General features: G+C 35.9%; 1 long non-coding RNA gene across 1 annotated transcript in view, besides 2 other annotated features; it reads right to left on the reverse strand.

Annotated features, from left to right (window-relative positions):
- LINC02144 (long intergenic non-protein coding RNA 2144) overlaps positions 1 to 25985 on the reverse strand; it is a 75109-nt gene extending 49124 nt beyond the window's left edge. Inside the window, exons 1-3 of the long non-coding RNA NR_183312.1 lie at positions 25924 to 25985; positions 8381 to 8543; positions 6044 to 6217 (exon numbers count right to left, since the gene is read on the reverse strand). This is a non-coding gene — a long non-coding RNA (long intergenic non-protein coding RNA 2144). The remainder of the gene's footprint in view (positions 1 to 6043; positions 6218 to 8380; positions 8544 to 25923) is intronic.
- Positions 14854 to 15354: an enhancer, noted in NCBI's record as "OCT4-NANOG-H3K4me1 hESC enhancer chr5:87017762-87018262 (GRCh37/hg19 assembly coordinates)". NCBI's record gives its function as "activates a minimal SCP1, AML or CMV promoter by ChIP-STARR-seq in naive H9 embryonic stem cells {active_cell/tissue: H9 hESC(naive)}" and the evidence as "EXISTENCE:reporter gene assay evidence [ECO:0000049][PMID:30033119]".
- Positions 15355 to 15855: an enhancer, noted in NCBI's record as "OCT4-NANOG-H3K4me1 hESC enhancer chr5:87018263-87018763 (GRCh37/hg19 assembly coordinates)". NCBI's record gives its function as "activates a minimal SCP1, AML or CMV promoter by ChIP-STARR-seq in naive H9 embryonic stem cells {active_cell/tissue: H9 hESC(naive)}" and the evidence as "EXISTENCE:reporter gene assay evidence [ECO:0000049][PMID:30033119]".
- Positions 25986 to 26522: the final 537 nt, after the last annotated feature.

Raw genomic sequence — 26522 nt, forward strand, 5'->3', positions numbered from 1 at the left:
TAGAATCTTCAAAACTGGGTTTGGAAGCTAATTCTGGTTCTTAGGCACCATAAAAATTACTTGACTTCTTTAAGTTTAAGGTTGATTTTTTTCATTTCATTAAAATAGGTGTAATACCACCATTACTAATAGGAGTAATTATGATATCAATGTATTATAACAACATATTAATAGTAGTAGGTAATAATAATAGTAGTGTGAAGTAAGATAATACATGCAAGGAGTTTATTTATTGCTTTTTTTTTTTTTGAGATGGAGTTTCACTGTGTCACCCAGGATGGAGAGGAGTGGCACAATCTTGGCTCACTGCAACCTCTGCCTCCTGGGTTCAAGTGATTCTCTGGCCTCAGCCTCTCCAGTAGCTGGGATTACAGGCACGTGCCACCACACCCAGCTAATTTTTGAATTTCTAGTAGAGACGGGGTTTCATCATGTTGGCCAGGCTGGTCTCAAAGTCCTGACCTCAGGTGATCCACCTGCCTCATCTTCCCAAAGTGCTGGGATTACAGGTGTTAGCCACTGTACCTGGCCATAACTGTTCATAATTATTATTAAGACTCCAAAACTTCTCTTGGTGACAACAAAATTTTCCCACTAAAATGACTTTTCACAAATATTTTTTCTTACTAAAATTTCTGCTACAACTATTAAATTTCTAATTGATTCTGATTACTAACTGAATCTATTTAATGTGTACAGCATCATAAACAGATAGGAATTCAGTCCTGCTTCATGTTAAATTTCTAAATTGCTATCTTAATGCCATGGACTGAGTGAAACTGGCTAACTCAACTGTCTTCCAGAAAAAAAAAACAAACAAAAAATTCTTCTTAGCCTGACTGATTTAACATTAAAAAAAAAAACTATTTTAAAATAATACATACATGCAGCATGAAGTGAACAGCTAGAGTTTAATATATTTGCAAAAATAATTGAATTGTAGCTCTTTAATTTCTCCAACAAAAAATTTCTCAAAGCATTGTAATTGTTAAAGAGAAGACTAAAATTCTTTCAAATTCAATCCACTGGCTTCCAACTCACTGGGAGAAAGACTGACATTTTGGAATGGCCCACAAGGTACCAAAAAATCTGCCTCCCTTGGTGTTTTTCCTGCAACATTCACACCTTTACCTCTAACACCTTGCTTTCTCCTATCAGCACTAATTCTAGCTACACTAGTTTTTTCACCAAGACCAGAAGCCTCCTGTCTGCATCTGTCTTTTCCTGTGCCTATTCCAGGATCTTCTCTGAGATATCCTGATGACTTCCTTGCTCACTCCATTTGGAAATTTACTTAAATGTGACTATTTTGGCAAGGTCTATTTTGCTCCTCCACATAACTAACTTCCCCTTTTTCCAATGCCCTCTGTCTCCCTTGCCTATTTAATTTTCCTCTACAATACTTATCAACTATCTTATATACTTTGTATTTTACTCATTTATTTTCTTTATTATCTGTGTCCTCTGTAACAGAATATAAGCTGTATGATAGCAAAGATTTCCATTTTGTTCATAGCTCTATCTCCAGTGCCTAGAATAGTTCCTGGGACATAATAGACACTTGTGAAATCTTGACCAAATGAATACTTTCTTTCTTCACCTTTTAATTGGTGACTCCAAATATGAAAAATAAATGGACATGTACCTCTTTGGGATGGTAGACACTTAGATGTCTACTGTCAGTCCAAGAACAAGAAAGAACTCTAGGAGCTTAATTTATTTAAGAGGACATTCATACATAATGTTATACAACTGGAGGGAATGAAAAATGTGAAAAATGTAATGCTGATAGGAGAGACTGAGCTTAGGGGTACTGGAATCTTCAAGTGCAATGGAGACAACTAATTGAGTCATACAATAAATTATCGAAAGAAGTACGTAATAGAGATCTTCTATACCAAAATAAAATAGTGTTAAACTATGGAATAAGATATGTTAAAACTGTAAGTAAAACAGGTATTGATGCATGTTTGTCTTGATTGTTATGTTGCATTATTTGGAATGAATTTTTTTTTAATTTTGTGGCCCTTACTACTGGTGTGACAATTTCTAGTTGCATATCCAACAAAATTACCACTACTAGATTTTTGCAGATCTGCTAGCAATATTTGTTTATTTTGTCTTACATCTGCGTGATTTTTTAAAGCTCTATCCCAATGCCATACAGCACGACCAGATTGATAGGTCAATCCCTTCTTTAACTTTGAGAATGCTACTAGACATCGTTTTCAATCCTGATAATTGGTACAAACAGTACTGTGGACAAAGGAAAAGTGAAATGGAATTTGCTCAATTGTTGTGAAGCATGCAACATAGCATCTTATTAATGCGATAAAAGCCTAATAAAAGCCTCGGCACCCATCAGCTGGGCTGTAATGAGCACAGAAAAATTTCTTCTATAAAACAAGGATAAGGCTTATCTTTACTAACCAGTAAAAAAATACTGGAAAAGATGATGTTAAAGTGATCTATGAACTTCTTGGATTATGAAGCCTTTCATCTCATGTAAAAAGCATGTGAGTAGCTCTTTGGAATAGTGAGGGGCAGAGCTTGTAACATCATCTCTCAGAGAAGTAAAGCTGTTTGCTTCTCATACAGACTTGTGATGACAGAGACTTGCATTTTGTTGCTTTTATTATTTCGTCAATGTTGACTGTCTTTTTCATGGAAACAATTGCTAAAAATATTCCGTTTCATCATTTAGATTCTTATGACTTGCTGAGAATGCTTTTCAGAAGGATGTTTAAATCATTAATTACAATAAACATTGGCTTTGTAACCTTATCTAAGAACTACAACTCCAATATTTCCAAATGTTATTTTTAATAACACAGATTGTCTAAAAGCATAGTTAATCAAATTCAAAGAGTTGTCTCACATTCGTGCCTCTCATCTACCTCATTCCATGACAGCAGAAAGAAATTGACTTTTTATTTAAAATTTCTTGGTTTTCTAAGTCATTACTTTCATTAAATTGCCTTCATAATATAAGACTAACAGCTTTTTGATAAACAGAGGTCAAAAACATGACTTTTATTTTTAAAAAATTAATATATATCCTAATTTTGGCTGCATTTGAAGAAAGCACAAACACAAAATAACTCGCGGGTATCCTGGCCAATATGTTTCAACTGCAACTTAACTTTCTTTTTATGTACACAACTGGAAACAAGTAGGTGAAATTTTTTAAAAAGCCAAAGAATGAGAGCCAATGGTCTCTCCCTTGGTATATCTGCTCAATGTGCAAAGGGATCAGAATTTATTCATGGGAAACTGCTGTCTCATTTTTCTCTGGTGTCATAAGATATCCTTGCTTGTAAGGACATTCTAGAAACCTGTAGATAATCTTATTTGAAGCTTTCTAGTCTACAATCAAGTTCCAAGAATCAGTGTCCATATTTACTGTGTCATTTGTCTACAGGTTTTTATGTAGACAATACAGGAAATTTACAATACAGGAAAGCCCATTGCTTTCTTATGGTCATATACTACTTTTAATTTTTCAAAGTGCTTTCAAAACAAAAGTGAAAAATAAGTGTATTCCCTGTGAGGGTGACATTGCCATATATGTCCAGCTTAGATATTAAGAATGTTAACGTAAAAAATAATGCCAAATAATTTTTAAGTGTTCAAAATTTGTTGAACATTATCAGGTAAACATGACATAATTGGTGAATCGTATTTTCATGTGAGGCTCAGCCACTTATAACATAAGTATCACTATCCATGAATGTGCCATGAGGCTTCTCAGCCACTTATTCAAATGCAACTTAAAGGGAAATGGAAACCTTCTACTCAAATATTTAGATTCTAAAGGAAAATGTATTTCTAGATTTAAATGATTTTTCCATTTTTATTTATTTCTTCTATTTCTTTGTAATATAATTGTTCTTACCAAGTATTTATCAACAAGTTATGCCTTTTATTAAAAAAATTCTTAAATTTTTATTTTAACTGGTCGACAATCATCTACCTGATGAAGAATACTGTAAATGGAATAATGCAATAACTCCCATAAATATGTATCTTGTTTATCTTAGTGATATACAAAATATTTTCTAAAGCTGTATCTACAAAGTCAACATGAACAGAGGTGAAACATGGGAATAATTCATGACATGATATGTCAATATATTTAAATAAATTTATTTCTTGTGTGATTTTTCTCTCACTTGTGAAGACATAAACAAGTAAAGTGCTTGATGGTCTAATATAATTTATCATAAAAATTAATTCTGTGTGAATACAATGAAATTTCTTGTTAAATTACCTTTGCTGAGATATTAAGGTTTTGTTTTGCCTTATCAGGTCATTTGCCTTTACAGAATTATTTTTGGGCTTTTTAGATCAGTTTATAAAACTGAAGAATACAATTATAAAATGACATGTTTAAGGCCATGGATAAGAACAGTAAATTATTATCAATAATTATTATAATAGCTACTTCTTATATTTGGATTTATATAGTATGCATCTTCATCTAACTACTAGATAAATTTAATGCTAATTCCATGCAGATGGACCACATAATCCAATCTCATATTTTGCTAAAAACACCCAGATGTTCAATGTATTTTTTAGGTTCTGCCTGGGTTCAGTCACTGTATATCATCTATTTTCCCAATGGACCATAAGTCTCAACCTTATCCTGTCTCCATCACACCTAAGGACTTTGACTTATTTTTATCAGAGATAATAACTTACTATAGTAGTATTTCTGGGTAGGGTGAGAGGAAAGAGAAAAATAAAAACTAAAAAAAGAGGTGATCTGAGAAAAAAAGAGAAAAGTGTGAATAATTTAAAATATCTACCACCACACAAAATGATCTGATGAAACTTGCTTTCTACCCGTGAATTCACTCCTGTCATATTCTCTAAGATAAATCCCAAAGTAAGACAAGAAGGTGTTTGAAGTGGCTTGGATTAATGCTCTGGCACTCGATGCCAGCTTCCTCATGAAGCTACCCTAGAAGCAGTTTAAGGAGGCATATTTTTAAAAGAAGTATTCCTCTATCTTATTTCCAAGTCCTACTGTCTACCTTGGACTCTATTTCATTTAGCTGTGTTTGGGCCTGGTTATGGGGTCACTTTCTCAGCAGGCCTTCATCTCCCCAACACTGGGGCTCTGCCATGTTCTTGCTTACCTTCTCCCTAGGGCTGTATTGTTTATTCAGGTTTATTGTAGCATAAATGTAGCATTTTAAAGCTGAAAAACCATTAAAGAATCATTAAATTCAATATCCTCCTTTCAGGAGTGTGGAAACCAGAGGTAAAATCAGAGGTCAAATTTTCCCAATTAAGCACTAAAGGCGTGGCTTGAGTATTGCACATCTTGCAATACTTTTCTTTTCCTTCTCACCGTGACTACTACTAGTATTACTAGTGTATTTTGTACAAAGTAAGTTCTTCCTCACCTAACATATATTTCCTCCCTTCTCAATTATACTTTCTTTCTGTGTGTATCTTGTGTCTTGTCCCACCAGCAGAAAGATATCTTTCTTGAACAAAATGCAAGTCTGTAGCTGCATTCAGGTACAGGTGGTCTGCATTCAGACCTCCATTTGTTGGAGAGAAACTTCTCATTCTTTCTCAATTCAGAGAACCTAGGATGTATCTGGCGTTCTTTGAGCAGATAGAAAACAATGTCATTTCTCCCACTGAAATGCAGAATTAAGAAAATGGTTTTGAAACCTGTTCCCATCTCTAACTTTTCTATCGCCTGGCCTTTTCCTTATGCATCTGCTGCCACTATCAGAATCAGTCACACCTGCTTTAGAAATGGCCCAGCTGTGAAAGTCTGGGGCTTGAAATATTTTCTTCCATGGAAACAATGTGAGATACGTTGAAACAGTACTATTATTACCATTACTTAAGTACATTATGCATTAAATAGGCATTCTTTTTCATTCTGTCTCAAGAACATAACCAGCAGATACATATAATTTCAATGAAAAACAATGTTCTCAGATCCAAATAATCAATTTCAAAATTAATATTTTTACTCTTGTAATCCACTAAAAAGTCCACAACTACTAGAACTTACCAGTTTATAGTAGACTGCATTTCTTGTTGTGATGTTTTGAATGGTGTTTCAATATAACTGCATTTCTTCCTTTTGAATTGTCTTTTATAGCATTGACAGTCAAGAGTTTATATATAAACATGAGTAAGAAGTAACAATTCATTATCAAATGTCTGTTAAAGCTCTTTCTTCTTTCTTGATGGATTAGAAAAAAAAACATAATGTTAGAGCAAAAGATAGTTAGATGGTCAAGGTTCTGAACAAAATTGGCCAGGGACTGCCTGTTTGACCTTAGGTTGGGTATTGCAGCATTCTGTAGGTCAAATTCCACATCTACCAAATACCCTCAGCCCTTGCTTGTAAAATACAGTAAAGTCCTTGAGAAACTCTATTATGTGTTACTGTGCAAAGTAGGCTTATCACTGAGAAGAATACATTAAAGGGCTCATCTTCCACCTTTTGTGCTCATAAAATCAACCCATGTTTCTGGAAATGCATGCATTGTCAGGGCTATAAAAAAAGGATGCATTTAATACAGCAAAGTGTTTTACTAACTAAATGTTGTGTGCCATGGTTCAGTTGTAACCACCCAAGGGGTTCACCTTGCCTGCTGCCTAGACAGAGCTGATTCATCAAGACAAGGGAATTGCAATAGAGGAAGAGTAATTCACACAGAGCTGGCTGTGTGGGAGACTGGAGGTTTATGATTACTCAAATCAGTCTCCTTGAGCATTCAGGGAGCAGAATTTTTAAGGATAACTTGGTGGGTGGGGGGAAGCCAGTGAGCCAGGAGTGTTGATTGGTCAGAGATGAAATCAGAAGGAGCAGGAGCTGGAGCTGTCTTCCTGTATGCAGTCAGTTCCTGGGTGGGGGCCTCAAGATCAGATGAGCCAGTTTATTGATCTGGGTGGGGCCAGCTGATCCATCAAGTGCAGGGTCTGCAAAATATCTCAAGCACTGATCTTAGGAGCAGTTTAGGGAAGGTCAGAATCTTGTAGCCTCCAGCTGCATGACTCCTAAACCATAATTTCTACTCTTGTGGCTAATGTTAGTCCTACAAAGGCAATCTAGTCCTCAGGCAAAAAGGAGGTCTGCTTTGGGAAAGGGGTTTTACTGTCTTTGTTTAAACTGTAAACTAAGTTTCTCCCAAAGTTAGTTCAGCCTTCCCCCAGAAATGAACAAAGACAGCTTGGAGGTTGGAAGCAAGATGGAGTCAGTTAATTTAGCTCTCTTTCACTATCTCAATCATAATTTTGCAAAGGCAGTTACAATCCCTCCCTTTGGGTTTTATAACACCTTCATCTTAAGGTGTAGGCTATGAAGATGGGAAAAGGCCATCAATCAATCTGGCTTCTTCCTGCTAACAGGAGACATAGTGGGAATGGGAGTTAACCCCGAGATGACAAGAGTGGAACTGCTTTGCACTGATCTGGGTGTAATCATGCAGGCCCGGATGGGATTTCAAGGCTTGCATGGCAAAAATATTAGTACTCTCATCTATAGATTTACTACAGTGTTTAAGTGAACAGCCTACTATAAGGCAAATAACAAGCCCTAGGATGAGGAGTACAATTCCCAATTTTAAAAGCAAAGATTTAAAAACATTAGTTTGGGGACTTCTAACCAACAAAGAATTTAGGATTTAGTCTAAACTACAGAAAAAAACCTCAAGAACAGCTAATAACAGTGTACTATAGTTTTTCTTTTGAAGCATAATTTTTCTCTCCCTAGTCCCCATTTTAATTAAAAACAAATCATGATAGAACTGATTTGTTTACAAAATAAACTCTAGTCTTACAGTACTTGGCATGATTATTTGCTTAAAGTGCAGCAAGAATAATTATTTTTCACTTAGGCTTTTTAAATTGGCTTTGATAGAACTCTGTTACATGAGGAATCTCAGATAAGACTTTTTAAAAGCTGAGCCCAGGTTGGGCACAGCAGCTTACACCTATAAACCCAGCACTTTGGGAGGCCAAGGTGGATGGATCTCCTGAGGTCAGGAGTTCAAAACCAGCCTGGTCAACATGGTGAAACCTGGTCTGTACTAAAAATACAAAGAAAAAAAAATTAGCCAGATGTGGCAGCGGGTGCCTATAATCCTAGCTACTCAGGAGGCTGAGGCAGGAGAATTGCTTGAACCTGGGAGGCAGAGGTTGAAGTGAGTCAAGGTGATGCCATTGCACACCAGCCTGGGCAATGAGAGTGAAACTCCATCTCAAAAAAAAAAAAAAAAACCCGAGCCCAGCCATGGGTTTGTACCCTCAACACCTATGAGTTTGGCAAATTCCTCTCCTCTTAGGGCCCAAGAGAGCTTGGGGTTCCTGGGCCTGTTAGAAAGTGACATTCTTTACTTACCACAGGTCGGGAAACTTGTACAAGGACTCTGTGTGGACAAGGTATGAGACCAGATTCCCCAACAGGGCTTAATTGGCTGTATAAGTCAAGCTTGAATTTTTTAAAGGAATCATGCCATTCCAGTCAAAGCCTGGGTAAAATAATCAGTTTCTCCAATTTTGTCCTGTTACAAAAGAAAACAGATTCTTATTGCACTTATGCAATTAACTATACCACCATAAATTGAAAATATTCACAAACAGTTTCCAAATTCTGGAGAAATCAGGCAGAGAGGAACAAATATGCTCCAAATTTTGTTCACAGGAGTTGCAAAAAGCTCTAAAATATAAGTTATCTTGACTCTGATAACAAAAGGTTTACCAATGTTTAACACATTTGCTCTCCAGGAGAGTCCTAGAAGTTTGATTTTTTTCCTCTATTCCAATAGCACAGTTTTAAAAGTTATCTGAAACCTGCACTTACAGTCCTATATCTGATTATAAACTGCCTTTTGAAAAGGACCAAAGCAAGACAAAGCAAGAGAAACGTCTGTGAATGACAAAAGTCTACAGCCACTATTAAAGCTACAATTGACTAGGAATTTTGGTTACTTCTGTGGCATACAACAATTTTATGTAACAATTATAATTATTAAGAATGGACACTAAGTTTCCCATAATTTTGGAACACACACTAATAAGATATTTATACAAATACAGTCCAAAGTAAACCAAAGACCATTCACTTTTCTATTCAAAAATTTTTTCTCTATTCTAATGTCACAATCTCCAGTGTTATTAATCAGAATCCTGCATTTAAGAGCACCTGTTACATTTTATAGGTGATTATAAAACCATCTTTTAAAGAGGACCAAAATGAGATAACAGGTGTCTATGGACAACAACATTTTAGGGCAGCCACAGGTAAAGGCAAGATTGTAAAGGAAATTTGTTACCTCTGTGGCACAGTCTGTTAAACAATAATTGTAATTATTACTGATAACATACACTAAGTGATATTAGAATTATAGGAGTTTTACATAATTTTGGAACATACACCAATAACACATTTACACAAATATAGGCAAAAGAAAGCAAAACACCATTTCATATTTGACAATGCTTCCTGTATGATTTTTGCACCAAATAAGCCAAATGTCATTTTTGGACTTCAGAGGACCTAATATCTAAAATATTAGGTAAGAAAGAGACATAATTTCTGATTTGATTTTGGAAAGTTTGTCAAATATCAAAGGTTTAAAACATTGGATATCACAAAATAGAATCCCAGGTCACCATAAGTCATTCATTTGGCCAAAATAACTGCAAAATTTTTTTTAAAAAGAAAAACCTTTACTCTGATAGAGGAGACTTAGCTTTCCAAACGAGACCCTGCGAAGATAGCATAAGACCAAATGAATCTGTCTCTTCTCTCTCTCCTATTTTTTCCTGCCATTTACTCATAGGAGAAAACAAAACACTTTCATTTTCTTTTAACAGTACATAAAAATCATATTCACAAGAGAAAACCAAATTTAATGTTGCATTAGTACATCTTTAATGTTAAAGCTAGTTTTTTAATATAAAATTTTATATCTCTATCGAGTTTTAATTAGTTTGACCATAAGGTATGATTTTCACAAACCTTTTAGAACCCTTTACAATTTTCCATCAAACAGCAGATCAACTTTGTAAGAAAACCCTGTTATTCAAACACAGGGGCCCAGATTCTAGCCCCACATCAGTATGATTTTAATGTTTTTTTTTTTTTTTTGAGATGGAGTCTCACTCTGTCACCCAGGCTGGAGTGCAATGGCAAAATCTTGACTCACTGCAACCTCCGCCTCCAAGGTTCAAGCAATTCTTCTTTCTCAGCCTCCTGAGTAGCTGAGATTAAAGGTGTGTGCCACCATGCCCAACTACATTTTGTACTTTTAGTAGAGATGGAGTTTCACCGTATTGGCCAGGCTGGTCTTGAACTCCTGACCTTCTGATCCACCTCCCTTGGCTTCCCAAAGTGCTAGGATTACAGGTGTGAGCCACCCTGCCCAGCCAATTTCTTTTAAATCTTAGCCAACTTGTTTATGCCCACAGAATTTTTACAATATCAACCCTTTACAAACCCTTTTCACTTTGCTAAACCTTCAGTTTTGTTCTGTTAACTCTTTCACGTTAAGACAATCTTTAAATCCCTCTGAAATAGACAAAATTACATTCCCTTTAACAAAAGCCACATTCCCGTGCCTTCTTATAATCTTTTACCAAAAACACATTCCCTACACACATTGTATGTAAAACTGCTTCTCAGGTGGTCTCAACTAGATGTTACAATGTTAACTCTTAGCAACTTTTATTTTTAGTGAAAAACCTGATAAGTAAGCAATTTATATGTACTAGCGGTGGAGCCTAGGACATCAGACAGAAATGAAGATAAGGTCTGACTCCTTTTAACATAGCTAGCAGGCATGGGTCTCCATATGTCCCTAGGCCTTATCTATAATCTAATGCTCCAAAGTAGGTAAATCGAATAATTTTCAAAAGTCAAAGACACAGTTTGACCTTAATGCATTTAGCAAATCTGATATCTGACCTTAATTTAGACCAAATGTCTACATTTTCAAAACATTTTATTTTATCAATAATCTTTAAAACTGTCTTTATATCCAAAAGATTCCTAAAGGCATGTGAACAAAAAGGCATTAAAGTTTCCATTTTTCTGACAAAATATTTGATTTAAGCGCTTATTTTCCTAAGCCAATTAATCAGAACTCTTTTATATAGAAACAAAAAACACACATAAATACACAGACAGAAAGACAGAAGATTCAGCACTTGTAAGATTTTTTATTTGCCAGTTTCTTTTTTTTCTTTTCTTTTCTTTTCTTTTCTTTTTTTTTTTTTTTTTTTTGAGACAGAGTCTTTCTCTGTCGCCCAGGCTGGAGTGCAGCAGCGCAATGTCGGCTCACTACAAGCTCCGCCTCCCACGTTCAGGCTATTCTCTTGCCTCAGCCTCCTGAGTAGCTGGGACTACAAGCGCCTGCCACCACGCCTGGCTAATTTTTTGTATTTTTTGTATTTTTAGTAGAAACGGGGTTTCACCGTGTTAGCCAGGATGGTATAGATCTCCTGACCTCGTGATCCGCCCGCCTCTGCCTCCCAAAGTGCTGGGATTACAGGCATAAGCCACCACGCCAGTTTCTTAATTGAATTACTGGCTTCAGGGAGGAGGAACAGGGCCAGGAAAGCATGCATTTCTAGGGCCAAATAAGCAGCAAATTAGCAGCTGAAGGCAAAGACAGATCCCCAAAATTAAGTGTGCCATTTTATACTGGATCCCGGATCCACAAAAGGAGGGAAATACTACGGGAGAAGACAGTGCAGTGCTCCTACCCTGCATTTCATTGCAAGACAACCCAAAGCCAATCAGCCCATTTTGTAATCAGCCCATTTCTCATGGAAGTCTTATCTCCCAGTGCGGGCTGGAGATGTTTCCTTATTTTCCAGGTGAACAAAAGCATGCTTCTCTGATCCAAGTGTGCAAAGATTCAAATATAACTACTATTAGCCATCCCTTAAAGTATATTTCCCACCTAGTTATTACACAGCAAAGCTCTCTCATAATGTGAAGTAATTTTTGATGCCCTCAAAACTCAAAACTGTCAGATAATAGAATGTAAAACAGAGAGAGATCCGTCCGCTTTTAGTTCCTGGGGTTTCATGAGGAAAACAGAGGGTTTTTTTCCCAAAATGGGGTCTGTGGCGCCCCCTTTGCTTTTCCCAATAAGTCCCAGGCTACCAGAAGTTATCTTAGAGCCTCTCATGTGTGCATTAAGAGTGGCAAGACAAAAAACTGGAGAAAAATAATTCAGTAGACTGAGAAGAAAAAAACTTTTTCCAGAAAAACAGGTTCCAAGAAGACAAAAACATAAAGGCCTTTTAAATACATCTATAGTTTATTCAATTTTAATTAAGCTGACTTTTAACCATAGTACTCTTTAAAAAAGAAATCCTTTCAAATCTCTTATTACCTGACTTTAGCCATGCCAAGCCAATATATCTAGCCTCTGAAATTTACCAAAGGTAACTTCCTAGGTGCTTCAAATACATGGCAAGCAGTTTCTTTTTTTACAAGATTTAGAATCTGCACAAGGTAGTTCTGAGAAAGGAAAATTCAAGAGAGGAAATCAGAAGCTATCTATGAGGGGAAAAAAAAAACCTCAATAAATGGCAAAGTTACACAATTAACAAACCAGAAAGCAATCATTCCAGAAGCCAACTATTGAACCCAGGCCACCACTGTCGAAAGATAAAGCCTTAGCTGCTGAGCTCTACAGCATTGAGCAGTTTCTATTGCTTTTCCTAGAAGAGCCTAGAGAAGCCAATTTCTAGCTTGCAAGGCTTTTAACTGCTCAAGAAAAATTTTTAGGGCTAACTATGACATGAACTCCCAAATTCCTGTCCTCTGGGTGGTGGAAACCAAAAGAATGTATCCCCACATGGTCATAAGGTTAAGCTCTTAAAACACAAAACAAGACAGAGAAATTTTATAAATACAGTATTTGTTTCAGGGACCCATAGCAAAGTTTGTAACTGACCAACTTGCCAAACTGACTTGAAAAGCAGGATTATAGGGGCCCTATACCCACATTCTATCCTGTGATACCTCTCTCTCCATTACAGAACACAGAAAGACAGATTCTTAGCACAAAGTACACCAGATTTCCTACAGCCTAAGACTAGTCTCACAAATCCTTCTTTCTGTTAATCAAACCCTTGCAGAGGTGACAAATAGTTTACTGTTTATCCAGACAGAGAAAGAGAGAGAGAGAGAGACCAGAAACTTGGCTGGGAAGAATTTCTTACCCTTTTTGCTGGCATACCAGGTTTCTGGGTTCCCTTTCTCTGCAGCTTCCAGAAGAACAGAGCAGCTTCTGATGACCCTGCTTACTTGTGCTATAGCTGTGGAGCTCAAGGCACTTTACAAGAGAAAATTCCTTTTATTGCTCATGGAGCCATAGATAAGATTCTCAGTTTGCAAGATGCTGCCCAACAGGCTGCTTGGGGAACCAAATTAACATTTTCCATCCCAGCAAAATACAAATAACAAAACAGACATTAGTCACCTCATTCAGCACCCAGTATCAGCCTGGCAAAGCTCAAACGCTTTCCCTTTGGTCCCTGTTGTCTTTGATACACTCCAGGTGGTGATGGACGACCTCTGAATGGTAATTCACAATAGGGTTTCTGGGCAAGGGGAAGAGCAGATAGTCACCCTGACAGACAGGCCTGTTGAGCCTTCTTTAGATCTCATCGAGTGTGACCACACAAATAAGGAGGGTTCTCTGAGTTAGTTCTGCTAGATTTCCATCAGCAGCCCCTCTGAGATCCCTTCCACATATACAGACACATACAAAGATGAGATGGACAGAAGGCCTTCCAAATCAGATCCCTAACCAAGAACTCCAAGAGTATCCCTTCAAAACTATCCTCTTATTCTCTGTCTGAGAAACTTCTCAAAAACTTCCTGATTGAGGAGAAATTTCCCAAACCAGGATTCTTCCCACTAGTTAGAAAGAACCAACTGAGACCACCCCCACTGCCCCCACAAGGAGCTGAACCATACAGCTACAGAACCAGTTGGGAGAAGGAAAGAGGTGTTGGCAGTACTTAAGATTCACCAATCCAGACACCCCGTAACGAGGCTACAGACAGACACCCCACCACGGGGCTACAGACAGACACCCTGTGATAGGGCTACAGTTAAGGATGTCTCCCCAGGACTATTTCTCCGTTGCAATTAAATCCATGCACATTGGGTCAGCAGCACCCAGCCAGTAGAGAGAGTACCAGAGTCAGTCCCCAGTCCAAGAGAACTAGGCAGTCACTTGGGCTGGCTTCTGAATCCATCACTGGAGGGGGCCCACTGAACCACGGGAAGGTAGCCACAAGGGCAATCCTGGATGAGCCCTCAAACTTGTAACCGCCCAAGGGGTTCACTTTGCCCACTGCCTAAACATAGCCAATTCATCAAGACAAGGGAATTGCAATAGAGAAAGAGTAATTCATGCAGAGCCAGATGTGAGGGAGACTGGAGTTTTATTATTACTCAAATCAGTCTCCTTGAGCTTTCAGAGAGCAGAGTTTTTAAGGATAACTTGGTGAGTGGGGGAAGCCAGTGGGCCAGAAGTGCTCATTGGTCAGAGATGAAATCATAGGAAGTTGGAGCTGTCTTCTTGCATCCAGTCAGTTCTTGGGTGGGGGCCACAAGATCAGATGAGCCAGTTTATTGATCTGGGTGGGGCCAACTGATCCATCAAGTGCAGGGTCTGCAAAATATCTCAAGCATTGATCTTAGGAGCAGTTTATGGAGGGTCAGAATCTTGTATCCTCCAGCTGCATGACTCCTAAACCATAATTTCTACTCTTGTGGCTAATGTTAGTCTTACAAACACAATCTAGTCCCCAGGTAAGAAGGAGGTCTGCCTTGGGAAAAGGTTGTTACCATCTTTGCTTAAACTATAAACTAATTTTTTCCCAAAGTTAGTTCAGCCTACGCCCAGGAATGAACAAGGATAGCTGGGAGGTTGGAAGCAAGATGGAGTCAGTTAAGTTAGATCTCTTTCACCATCTCAGTCATAATTTTGCCAACGCAGTTTCACAGTTACTGAGGAAGAAGGGCAGAGAATATTTTATCTGGTGAATCTGTGGAAATGCATCTTTCTATAGCCAAAGAAATTGCTCTGTCAGAAGGGGAAAGCAAGGAGAATATGTTATATGGGCATATTTCTATTTAACAAAACCTAGGGAAAGCTAATTGTTCCAAGCTAAGATCAGAAAGATAGAACAAAAGTGAAAAATGTGAATTTGTTTTACAAATCTTGCCGGTATCTGGATACACAACGAATGACTCATCCAGGGGCCTATTTTTGCACAGGACCACAAAGACCGGTAACTGTTTATGAGTGGGCATAAGGAACCCAGCAGAGTAATCATCTGGCAATTCAGATGCAGATTGCAGGCATGCAGGAAAAGGGTGGGAACTTGCAGCTTTGATGGGTAAAACTGCTGACTTTAGTCATAAAGACCAAGGATTAAATATGTTTGCTTTGTTAGGGATGAATCAGACTGAACAAAAATTGTCTCTAGTTGAGGTAGTTGAGTAGAGTGGCTGTGTTGTGAGTGCCTGGCAAATGTTGTTCTGTGTGAGACTGAAAAAAAAAGTCCCTACTACTGTCTCCATTGGCCAAGTAATCTTGTGGCAAACATTTATATAAATTATACAAACACTGCAATGCACTTTATGCCATGCTGTGATGCAAACTAGTTAATTAATATTATTGAACATATGGCATATGAAAGAAGAATGAGTTGAAAATGAGATATCAAATCTACATAATTAATAATATTTTGATTTAGAGGAATGGTAAGACAAGTGTCTCCAACATAGAAAGAGTGTGACTTCAGACAGGTCAGCTCAGCTTGTCTGTCTGTACAAATTGCTCTAGACCTGACACTACAACACATTGTGAGGGATAAATTCAAGGGAGAAGCAACAGCAGGAAAAGAAGGCCATTCCTTGGGGTGGGGCGGGGGGTGGAATTAAAATAACAGTAGATGCGTGTTCAAGTACTATGTTGTAGGGCCAAGATTATAAATCCTACAGAAATTTAAAGAGATCACTCAAAATGAAAACAAGTTAAAAATTTTGATGATCCATTTTACATTTGGTCAGTTGGGAAGCAATACAGTGTGATAGAAAACTAACTATATAATTTTAGAAAAATTACTCATTTCCTTTAAGCTTCAGCTTTTTTACTTGCAAGTTGAAAATCACTCTAGTAAGAATAAACAATGCTTACTGACAATATATCCCATTGAGAATTTCAAACTAGACTTTTGAGCTCGTTTATGAGCCATTATTTCACTCTTAATGCCTTACCTCTAATATGTCAATATTCATTTATTGACTGAAATCAGTGAGGCTTAAAAGTAAAACATAACTATATTTATTTTATTTTATTTATTTTTTTGAGATGGAGTTTTGCTCTTGTTGCCCAGGCTGGAGGGCAATGGCATGATCTCAGCTCACGGCAACCTATGCCTCCAGGGTTCAAGCGATTCTCCTGCCTCAGCCTCCCAAGTAGCTGGGATTATAGGCATGCACCACCATGCCTGGCTAATTTTCTATTCTTATTAAAGACGGGGTTTCTCCATGTTGGTCGGGCTAGTCTCGAACTTCTGACCTCGGGTCATCCACCCACCTCGGCCTCCCAAAGTGCTGGGATTACAGGCATGAGCCACTGCACCCAGCCAAAAGATAACTATCTTTTAAATTAACAACAAAAAATAAATTAGACAGTGCTTATGGTGATGTGATAATTGTGCAATTGCTGATGGAATTGTCATCCTTTGGAATGCAAATTGGAAATATCTATTATGCTTATATCTTTTGACCTAATAATTCTGTCTCTGTCTAAGGTATAATATATATTGCAGGAAACCTATTAGTACAGAGGTGCTCACTCCAACCTTGATCAATAGAGCAATGTATTATATGCAACAAAATAAAAAATATATAGAGCTGTTTAGGAAAATTGATGGAATATCATAAAACTACTAAAACTGACAGTTAAAGACTATAATAAAGGCAACCCAAGTGTCCATCCAAGTGAAAATAGAAGAAAAAAATGTGGTATATTCACAATGGTTTATTGTACAGAAATCATAATGAATGACATAGAGTGACAGACAACATTGGGAATAAATCTTAGTAATAAGATTATTAAATGAAAAGATAAATTCCAAAAGATTACATGCAGTATGCTCAACTTTTAAACAATCTAAAAAAAAATAAGCTTTTAAGGAGTGCATCTAAATGCAATACATGAAATAAGAGATTGGTAAGAACAGAATTTTGAATGATTGTTACCTTTAGTAGGGAAAGGCAGAGTGAGGAATGAGGAACAAAACATTTGATGTAGGTTAATATGAAGCTCCTAATATATGAGGAGATGATGGTGAATTTGTGAGAGATCTTATAGTGTTACAAATAAGTGAGTAAAAAATTAATAGGGCCTTGCATGAACATTACATAGCATTTGTCATGAACAAAGATTGTAATTCCTGTAATTATGTATACCTAAGGGCCAAAGGGAAGGAGAAGACTAAGACACATATTTTTAAAATATACAATAATTTTTAAGGATTTATTACTAAAAAATTAGGTAATAAACACAAATAATAATTGTGTTACTGTGGTGACTGTGATATTTTTCTTTTCTCTTTCAAATTTTCTAAAATATATTTTTTTAATGACAACAAACGCTTACAACTCATTAAAAAACAGTGTGTCGATGTGTATGTCAATGCACTTTTATAAACATGAAGTAGACAAATGAAATAAACTAAAATTGCTTGGCATTTCAGCAGGCTGAGGACCAATCCCCATGGCTGAAAGACCTGAGAAGGGTCACTGTTGACCTTGCATTGACAAATAGTTTAAAAATCAATCAAGAAAAAACAAATGTGACTATTTGTGAGAGTACATGCCAGATCCAATTAGTAGTGAAAACTTATATTGCCTACTAGAAAAATCTCTATTTGGCATCGACCCAGAAGGTGCAACAGTTGGGCCTCAAACATGAAAGCAATATAACTGATATGCGTTCTGGCTCAGTTATTTCTGCAAAGGTTGTATATGGAAGAATTTTAGATGAGTATACATAGCATGGGCTTTTAGTCTACTCATTGAATGTTGATGTGCAGAAAACCAGTAAGAATAGGGCATGATTCATAATAGAAGCAAATTGATTGGACACTTTGCAATGATGTTCATAGAGAAGGACACCGGTGCATGCTTGCATGTGAATGTACAGAAAGCTGGCTCAGAATTGGAAAAATATTATACCAAATTTATGTTTTTATAAAACATTTAGCTACAAACCTTTGATTTGTAGATATTTTAGGCCATTTTCAACCTTCCTTTTGGCTTTTGAAATATAAAGCATAGTATTACTTTAAACTATAATACTTTTCATATTTGAAGAATACTAGATGCATGAAATGAGCAGTACATTTTGCAGCACTGTAGCATGTATGTTTTTCTCTAATTCAGTATTTTCTTTGTAGTATACTCTCTTTAATACAAATAAATCAGTGTATTTCATAGCATATTTATTCCAGTTTTTTTCCCCCAGTAATTGAAAAAATATCTTCTTGGACAAGAAGTAACTTTCAAAAAGAAAATGTCTGTTTGGGAGTTTTAAAGGATCCTTTTCCTTTTTCTTCTCTTTTGTATGGTTCTTCATTGCAAAGTACCAATACAATTGCAAAGTACCACTTAAAAAATATTTTGTGAAACACTTATAATTTCTTATCAATCATATTTTATAATCAAAAGTGTTTGGGTTTTCTCTTCTTCCTAGTTATTTAAAGACTAGGCCTTTCAGCAGTAGGCATGGAAGGCTGTAGATTGAAATGAAATCGAGTCTAAGGTTTGAAAGAAAGATAGTTGAGTTTGAACCCTCATCCTGCTCTTTAGAAAAAAATCATGTAAATTCTTTGAATCTCATTTTTCTAACATGTGAGTAGGAAGAAGAGGAAGGCAGCCAACATAGCTCACAAGATTCTTTTGAAAACAAGTAAGTTAGTGTACATTCATATAAGCAAAAGTCTTATTATTTTTACTATTAGGATAAAGAACTTGAAGCCAAACTCTCTTCCCTGTGCAAGTTAGTTGAGTATGTCCTAAAAGGACATGAAAACACCAAACAATTTTTTTTTTCAAAGTTTCTCCTTCAAACTCAGGCACCTATTGTGAGACAATGCCAATGCCTGCCATGTTTCTCTGAGAGTGAGCATAGCAGCGTTTGCTCTCAGCAGAGATGAACTGCATGTCTGTAGGCTCCTTTGTGAGCACCTATATAGGTGTGCTGAGGAGATTATGAGTGTGAGGCTTCACTGTGTCAGAAAGTGGAATAGAAATGTGGCACAAGTGAATTCTGACAGTATAAACATAGCCTGTAAGGCTTCTTGCATTGCTATAAATCACAATGTTTCAATATATATATATTGCTTGTGTTTGCGCATTTTTAATTGCTTATTCATATTTATGTAGAAAGATTAGAAACAAAAAAATAAAAGCAAGCGGGAAAAAATTGCCCATAATCCTATCACTATTGGCATGATAGCCATATTTGCACTGTTAGTGTGTAAGCACTAGTATCATTTTGGAGAATACTTTCTTTTAATGTGTATGAATGAAATAAATGTATCTTTAAAGTGGGATCATCGTAGATACAGTTTTTGGGAAACTACACTTAGCATATAGCAACATGTCATCAACATGCCACATATTTATCAATATAGACCCCATCATTTGTAATGATTGGGTAGAATTTCATTTTATGGCTGTATGAGTTATTTAAGTATTAACCTAAGGCTGTCCATTTATTTTCAATTTTCCCCCTATTATAAAGAATATTGTGATATTCAAATCTTCACATTTTCATTTTTATGAATCCATCTGATTACTAGGGAAAATTCTTAGAAATAGAATTTCTGAATTAAATGCATCACTTCCTTTTATATTTCATAACATTTTTACTAATTTTAATCTGTAAGAGTGTGTTGCTTTTCAGTCTCAATCACAGTGACAATTTTCCTCCTTTGATAGCCTAATAGTTGGTGAGGGCAGGGAAGACATCTTGTCTTATATTCATGGTTATGGTTACTAGTGAAGTATAATATTTTCATCATATTTTGTTAATCACTTACATTTTTTATTTTTGTAAGTTGCTTGTTTATACTTTTTGCCCACTTTCCTAGTGGCTTATATATTCTTTTTATTGACAATTTGTAAGATTTCTATATACTAAATTCATTAACCCTTTCTGTCACACATAGTTATAATTCTGTCATTTGCTTTTTCACTTGGATTGTGTTATTTTTCCCCATACGAATGTCTTAAAATATTTATTTAGTTAGATCTTTCCATTTCTGCCTTAATTCTTCATTGAAAGAGCTTTCTTTATCTATATAAATGCATTTATATTTTCCTCTAATATTGTTAAATTTCATTATTTGTACTTACATCTAATTCATTTGGAGACTTCATTTTATTTTAAGGTGTTAATTAAGGATCTACATTTATTCTTGTCAAATGGTTAGTTGTCATCACACTTTTAAAAAAGAAATTATCATATTATACACCTTTTCTTCACTGATTTAAAAGGCCACCTTTATTATGTACTGAATTCTTATTTGTAGTTTTGTCTGTTTCTGAACTTTCTGTTTTGTTTCCTTGATCTATGTATTTTGGCGCAAGCTTCATACTGTTTTAATATTTGAAGTTTTATAACTTGTTAAAAACTTGATATGATCCCCTATAATTATTTTGTTTTAAATCTTTTTTGACTTATTATTCCATGTTTAGTTTTCTAGTTGAATCTTAAAATTATTTTGTTAAGTTCTAAAGAAAAATTATGAGAATCATTTCCTTATAATGTGTGTCACTTTAGGGACGATTAACATCTTTAGAAAACTGAGTTCTCCCATTCAAAACATGGTGGTTATCTCCTTATAAGAACATCACTTTTTAGCATTCCTTAGAAAATGTTTGTATACCGTCTCCACATTTTGTGCAAAGTTTTTTCCAGTTTATGAAAGGTTTTTGTTTTGTACATTCATTTATTTAGTTTATAAATGTTTATTAACACATTATATACCAAGCCACGGGCTAAGTCTGATACTGAAGAAATATCAATGGGGCCAGAGAAGCACTGTTTAATAAAAATATACTGTGAGGTGTATCTGTAACTTCTAATATTTTCGTGGCTATAATAAAAAAGTAAAAGAAACAGATAAAATAAATTTTAACAGTATGTTTTATTTATCCAATATATCAACAAATTTTATTTCAATGTCTAATCAATATAAAAATTATTGATATATTCTGTTATTTTAAATCTACATCTTCAGCGGGGCGTGATGGCTCACGCCTGTAATCCCAGAACTTTGAGAGGCTGAGGCAGGCGAATCACGAGGTCAAGAGATCGAGATCATCCTGGCCAACATGGTGAAACCCTGTCTCTACTAAGAACACAAAAATTAGCTGGGCATGGTGGCACGCACCCGTAGTCCCAGTTACTCGGGAGGCTGAGGCAAGAGAATCGCTTGAACCTGGGAGGCAGAGGTTGCAGTGAGCTGAGATCGCACCACTGCACCCCAACCTGGCGACAGAGTGAGACTCTGTCAAAAAAAAAAAAAAAAACCTACATCTTCAAAATTCAGCATTTATTTTATGCTTATAGCACGTCTTAATTTGTATTTGCAACATTTGAAGCATTTAAGAGCCAGATGGAGCTACCACACTGAACAGTAAGGGACTAGAGAATTTGATGTCATTAATATTTAGACAATAATTGAAACTTTTCTCGTGGTGAAGCTTGTCCAAGTGGAGTCAAAGATGGATATAGGAAGATAGCTCGTAACAGAATACTAAAAAAGCACTGAGAGTTAGGAAATGCCAGCGAAGAGGGGGCCGCAAAAAAAGGTAAGAAAGAATGGTTTAAGAAACAGGACAAAAGGAACATGACACCTGAGATTTGGAAGATGAAAAAGAGTGTTTCAAGAAAGAGGAGTTTGTTCCTACATTAAGAACTTTGCTAACTTTACCAAGGTGCATCTTCAGTGAAGAGTTGGATAGCATCAAAAAATTATTGGCAATAAAGAAGTAATGATCAAGTAATTGTTTTAAATTGAGTATCTAAAAAATTTGGCTAGGCTGAGAAGAATTTTAACTGTATTATAACTTTCAAATTATTTCAAATGTTTAATTTTTATCTAAAGATACATTTCACACCTAAGTATAAAACTTTCGATTTCATTATGTAATGTGTAAAGTCATCCTTTACTCCTCAATTTTTCTCACAATTCAAATCTAATAAATTATAAAATCTTGTAGTTTACACATTTAAAATCTTATCTCAAGCTGGGTGTGGTGGCTCATGCCTGTAATCCCAGCACTTCGGGAGGTCGAGGCAGATGGATCCCCTGAGGTCAGGAGTTCAAGACCAGCCTGGCCTACATGGTGAAACCCCATCTCTACTAAAAATACAAAAAATTAGCTGGGCGTGGTAGCCGGCACCTGTAATCCCAGCTACTTGGGAGGCTGAGGCAGGAGAATCTCTTGAACCCGTGAGACAGAGGTTGCAGTGAGCCGAGATTGTGCCATTGCACTCCAGTCTGGGCAACAAGAGCAAAACTCCATCTCAAAAAAAAAATAATTATCTTACAACTCATTCCATGTCATCCAGGCACATGCCACCTTCACCTACTGCAATCCTTTTAAACCAGACTCCCTGATTTCATCTGGCCCCCTATTCCATATTTCACTCTGAGCCAGAGTGATTCTTTTACAATGTAAGTCAGTTCCTCTTATTCCTTTGCTGAAAATCCAGTGAGGGTTTCCTATCTCTCTCAGAGAATAAGGGAAAGTACTTAAAAATTTCCTGCAAGTTCCTCTGTGATTTGACCATCTGTTGCCTCACTGACAGCAATTCCTGCAGCTCTTCTCCCTTATACCATCCAACTATTCTGATGGGCCCTTGAGCCTAGAAAGCCTGTTTCCACCTCTGAGCTCCCTCCTTCAATTCATTCAATGTTTTGATCAGATGTCACTTTATCAAAAAAAGACCTTTACTGGTATAATAAAAAAAAGCAGTCCCCTTTCCCATCTGCTTTAATTTTTCTTGATAACACTTCTCACCATATGACCTATTCTATTCTGTTCTTTTCTATTCTCTTTTCTTCTCTTCTCTTCCCTCCTTCTACTGTAAAGTGGGTGCCATAAAGTAATAGGCTTTCTTTTTCTCACTACTAAATCTCCAGAGCCAAGAACAGTGCCTGGCACTTAGTAAGTCTGCAATAATATTTGTTAACTGACTGACTAGCTGAATGAAGGATGTCTAGATGTGAAATAATCAACATACATTTAACAATTAATTTTGGAATTAAAAATAATGTTTCCAATTTTGAAGCCTTTCAGAAAGAGATTTTTCTCCCCAAGAGAGGATTCAATATCATGCTTTGAAAAACTGAAATAAAAGGGAATTTGAATTATAAAGACAGAATTTGCAAATATTACAATTTTAAGAATTTTTTAACTGATGCAAATTTATTGTGATAATTGAGAATAAAATTATTTCTCAAAATGTCATACGACATAGAAATAAAAAGGTTAACACTTTGGAGACTTTACTGCAAGATTCTTAGGGCTCGAGTCCCAGCTCTACCACTTTCTAGCTGCACAACTTTAGGTTCCTCTCTACGCCTCAGTTTTCTCATCTGTTATTTCTTAGGGTTAATGATTGCATCTAATTTATAAAGCTGTTGTAAGGAGCAAATGGCTTAAATTATGTAAATGACTTAGAACAGCGTTTGGAACATAGTGTCTCATAAGAATTTATTATTATTTATTTGATAATATAGTATTATCCCTTCTCAAGAAAGTAGGTGCTCTTACTTAAGAAAGTAGGTGATGGAATTGGGGGATTTTATTTGTTGTTTGTTTATTTTTCTCTGCAATGTTTCTAAGGAGAAATCTCATAGGAGGAATCTAGGCAGTGTAAATTGTGTAGATACAATAAGTGGATGAGAGAATTAAGGCAATTTCTAGTTATGTGCATAAACACCTTATTTTTTTCACATGTGGAATGCAGAGAAACTTTTTGAGCCCTTATGTTTGACAAAAGAATGCTTTATTTCTTCATTTTACTTTACACGAATAGGCAAAGTTAAATAGCAAATAAGGCAAATTCAGCAGGGGATACCTAAAGCTCCAACCCCAAGCTCTAACCTTGAGACTAAATGAGGATAGTACAAATGCACAAACCTTAGATTTAAAAAAAAAAACAAAACTGACTTAATGAAAAAGTCATATCCTTAAATATTTATCCTCTTCAGGTAAATCTTATTCAAACTCTTCATCCATACTTTTCTCCTAGAAATTAACTCCAATAATGATATATTTTAGCCTTCCAAGCTATTTAGTGTCATAATTGATGCTGAGTTTTAAATCATTCCTATCGCCTGTGTTTATATGTATTTATCATCCTATTTAGTTGCTATCTTTATAAAATTAGGTCTTCTGCTTCCTTAGTTATTCCCCATAGAGCCAAGAATAGTGCTCAGCAAATAACATTATTGGTGGAAATATGACAATCAAACAGAATTACTAAGGATGAATGTCATGTCCTCTCTTTAAAATATTATGCTTTAAAAAATATAATCTGTTATTTAAAAGTAAGTTTTAACAAGGAAAAGATTATTGTTCCATATGTAAAATATTTGACATGGTTTCTTGAACATAATGAACACTTAACTAAAAGTTGGTTTCTCTTCTCCTACCATGACCTGAGACACATTTATTAGCTGCTCTCTGTCCAAATGTCTCAGCCTAAAATCCAAGAACAATCAAGACTTGGCATTCAATTTAACTGAGCAAAATATTCACTTTAAGGATAGCAAATACAAAAGAATGATATAATATTACTTTTCCCCAACTTTGCCCCAGGGTTTGTAATCTTATCAGAGAGCAAGTCATACAAACAGGAAATGATATCTTATGAAATGCTGAAACAGCACTGATATAAACAAGAGATCAAGAAGGGAACAACAATCACTTTGTTATCTTTTTAGATAGGAATTGAGTCAGGGAGAAAGTGGTTTCTCAGCTAAACCCTAAAAAATATTTACAGTTTGGAGAAGAAGATTGGGGGAAAGATGGTTAAGAATCCTTCTTTGGAAATTTCAGATTTTTAATCTTTGGCCAGGACACATTTACAGACCATCTATTAAATTTAAAAGAGATCTTAGCTACCTTTGTAAGCTTTGCTCTTCCCTAATCTACTCAAAGATAACTCAGAGTATAAACAAAGTTTAGAAGATCAATCTAAGACAAAAATCTCATGGAATTATATAAAATGGTTCCTTTAAAAACATACTGAAGGATTTGTGTTGCAGGGAAATAGGTCTTAAGAAGGGGGAAAAGTGAAATATATCCTCAACATTTATCATAATAGAGCCTAGTATCTTTTATTTTGTCACCTACACCCTAGGGAAATATACTATGAGCCACATTTTTACCTGCATATTTCTTTCTCTTTTGTAAAAAAAATTAACATGAATATAGTCCTTAAAGTCATCATATTGATATGTCATAATTAAAAATTAACTAAATAAACAATTAGTTATTTCATTATTTGCAAAATGTGATTTTCCTGAAAACAAAACTAACCAGCACAACAAAATCATTTATAGGACATAATCCAGTGGAAAGCAATAGATTAAAGGAGTTGGGGGTGGAGAGAAGGTAATTTGTTTTACAGTCCCAGCTTTATTTTATTTTAATACGTGTCATCCTGTAAAAATCCTGCATCTTAACTTTAAAAGAAAGGTATTGATGTAAGATTTGGAGAGGGTTGGAGAAAAAGAATGAGAAAGCTACAGGAATTGGGAGAAATTTATAGTTAGAACTGATACTGAGTGAAAATTAAGAGTACATACCTAGCATGTTTTGTGCTTCCTTTCTTCCAGAGAGGAAATGACACTTTAGATTCCCTGGGATGCTGGAACCACATGCAAAAAAGGATGGGCAAATTTGTCATTCAGAATTTATGAAGGATATTTTTTCTTCTCGCTGACTAAAAAGAACAAATCAAACACTAGGTTTCCAATTCTGAAAATTAGTGGACTCTGGAGAGCCAATTAAACATTATTCCCCTATCTCGACTCTGTTTTAACATCTTTCTTTATTGCACTGTTTCTTTCACTCACAAGGCAGGTAGATGGTGTTATCAGGCTAATTTGGGGACAGTTATCATTATAATGTAATTTTTTGCAATTATGTGGTAGACCAGGTGGCAAGACAGCATGGCTTTGCATTGCCAAGGTGCAAAATAAATTCAGTGTTCAATCAACCTGAGAGAGAAAGGACAACTCTCATTTGCATAAACATGTAGCCACGGAAACGAGATGCGCAGAGGTATAAGGGGAAAGAGACCTATTTTACATGATGTGCATAGAATATTTGACAGTTTAGATTGGAGGCGTCATTGATGTGGGTTGGAATGGTACGGTTGGTTGCCATGGATATGGTTTTCCCT

The sequence above is a fragment of the Homo sapiens genome, chromosome 5, assembly GCF_000001405.40.
Source record: "Homo sapiens chromosome 5, GRCh38.p14 Primary Assembly".
NCBI lineage: Eukaryota > Metazoa > Chordata > Mammalia > Primates > Hominidae > Homo > Homo sapiens.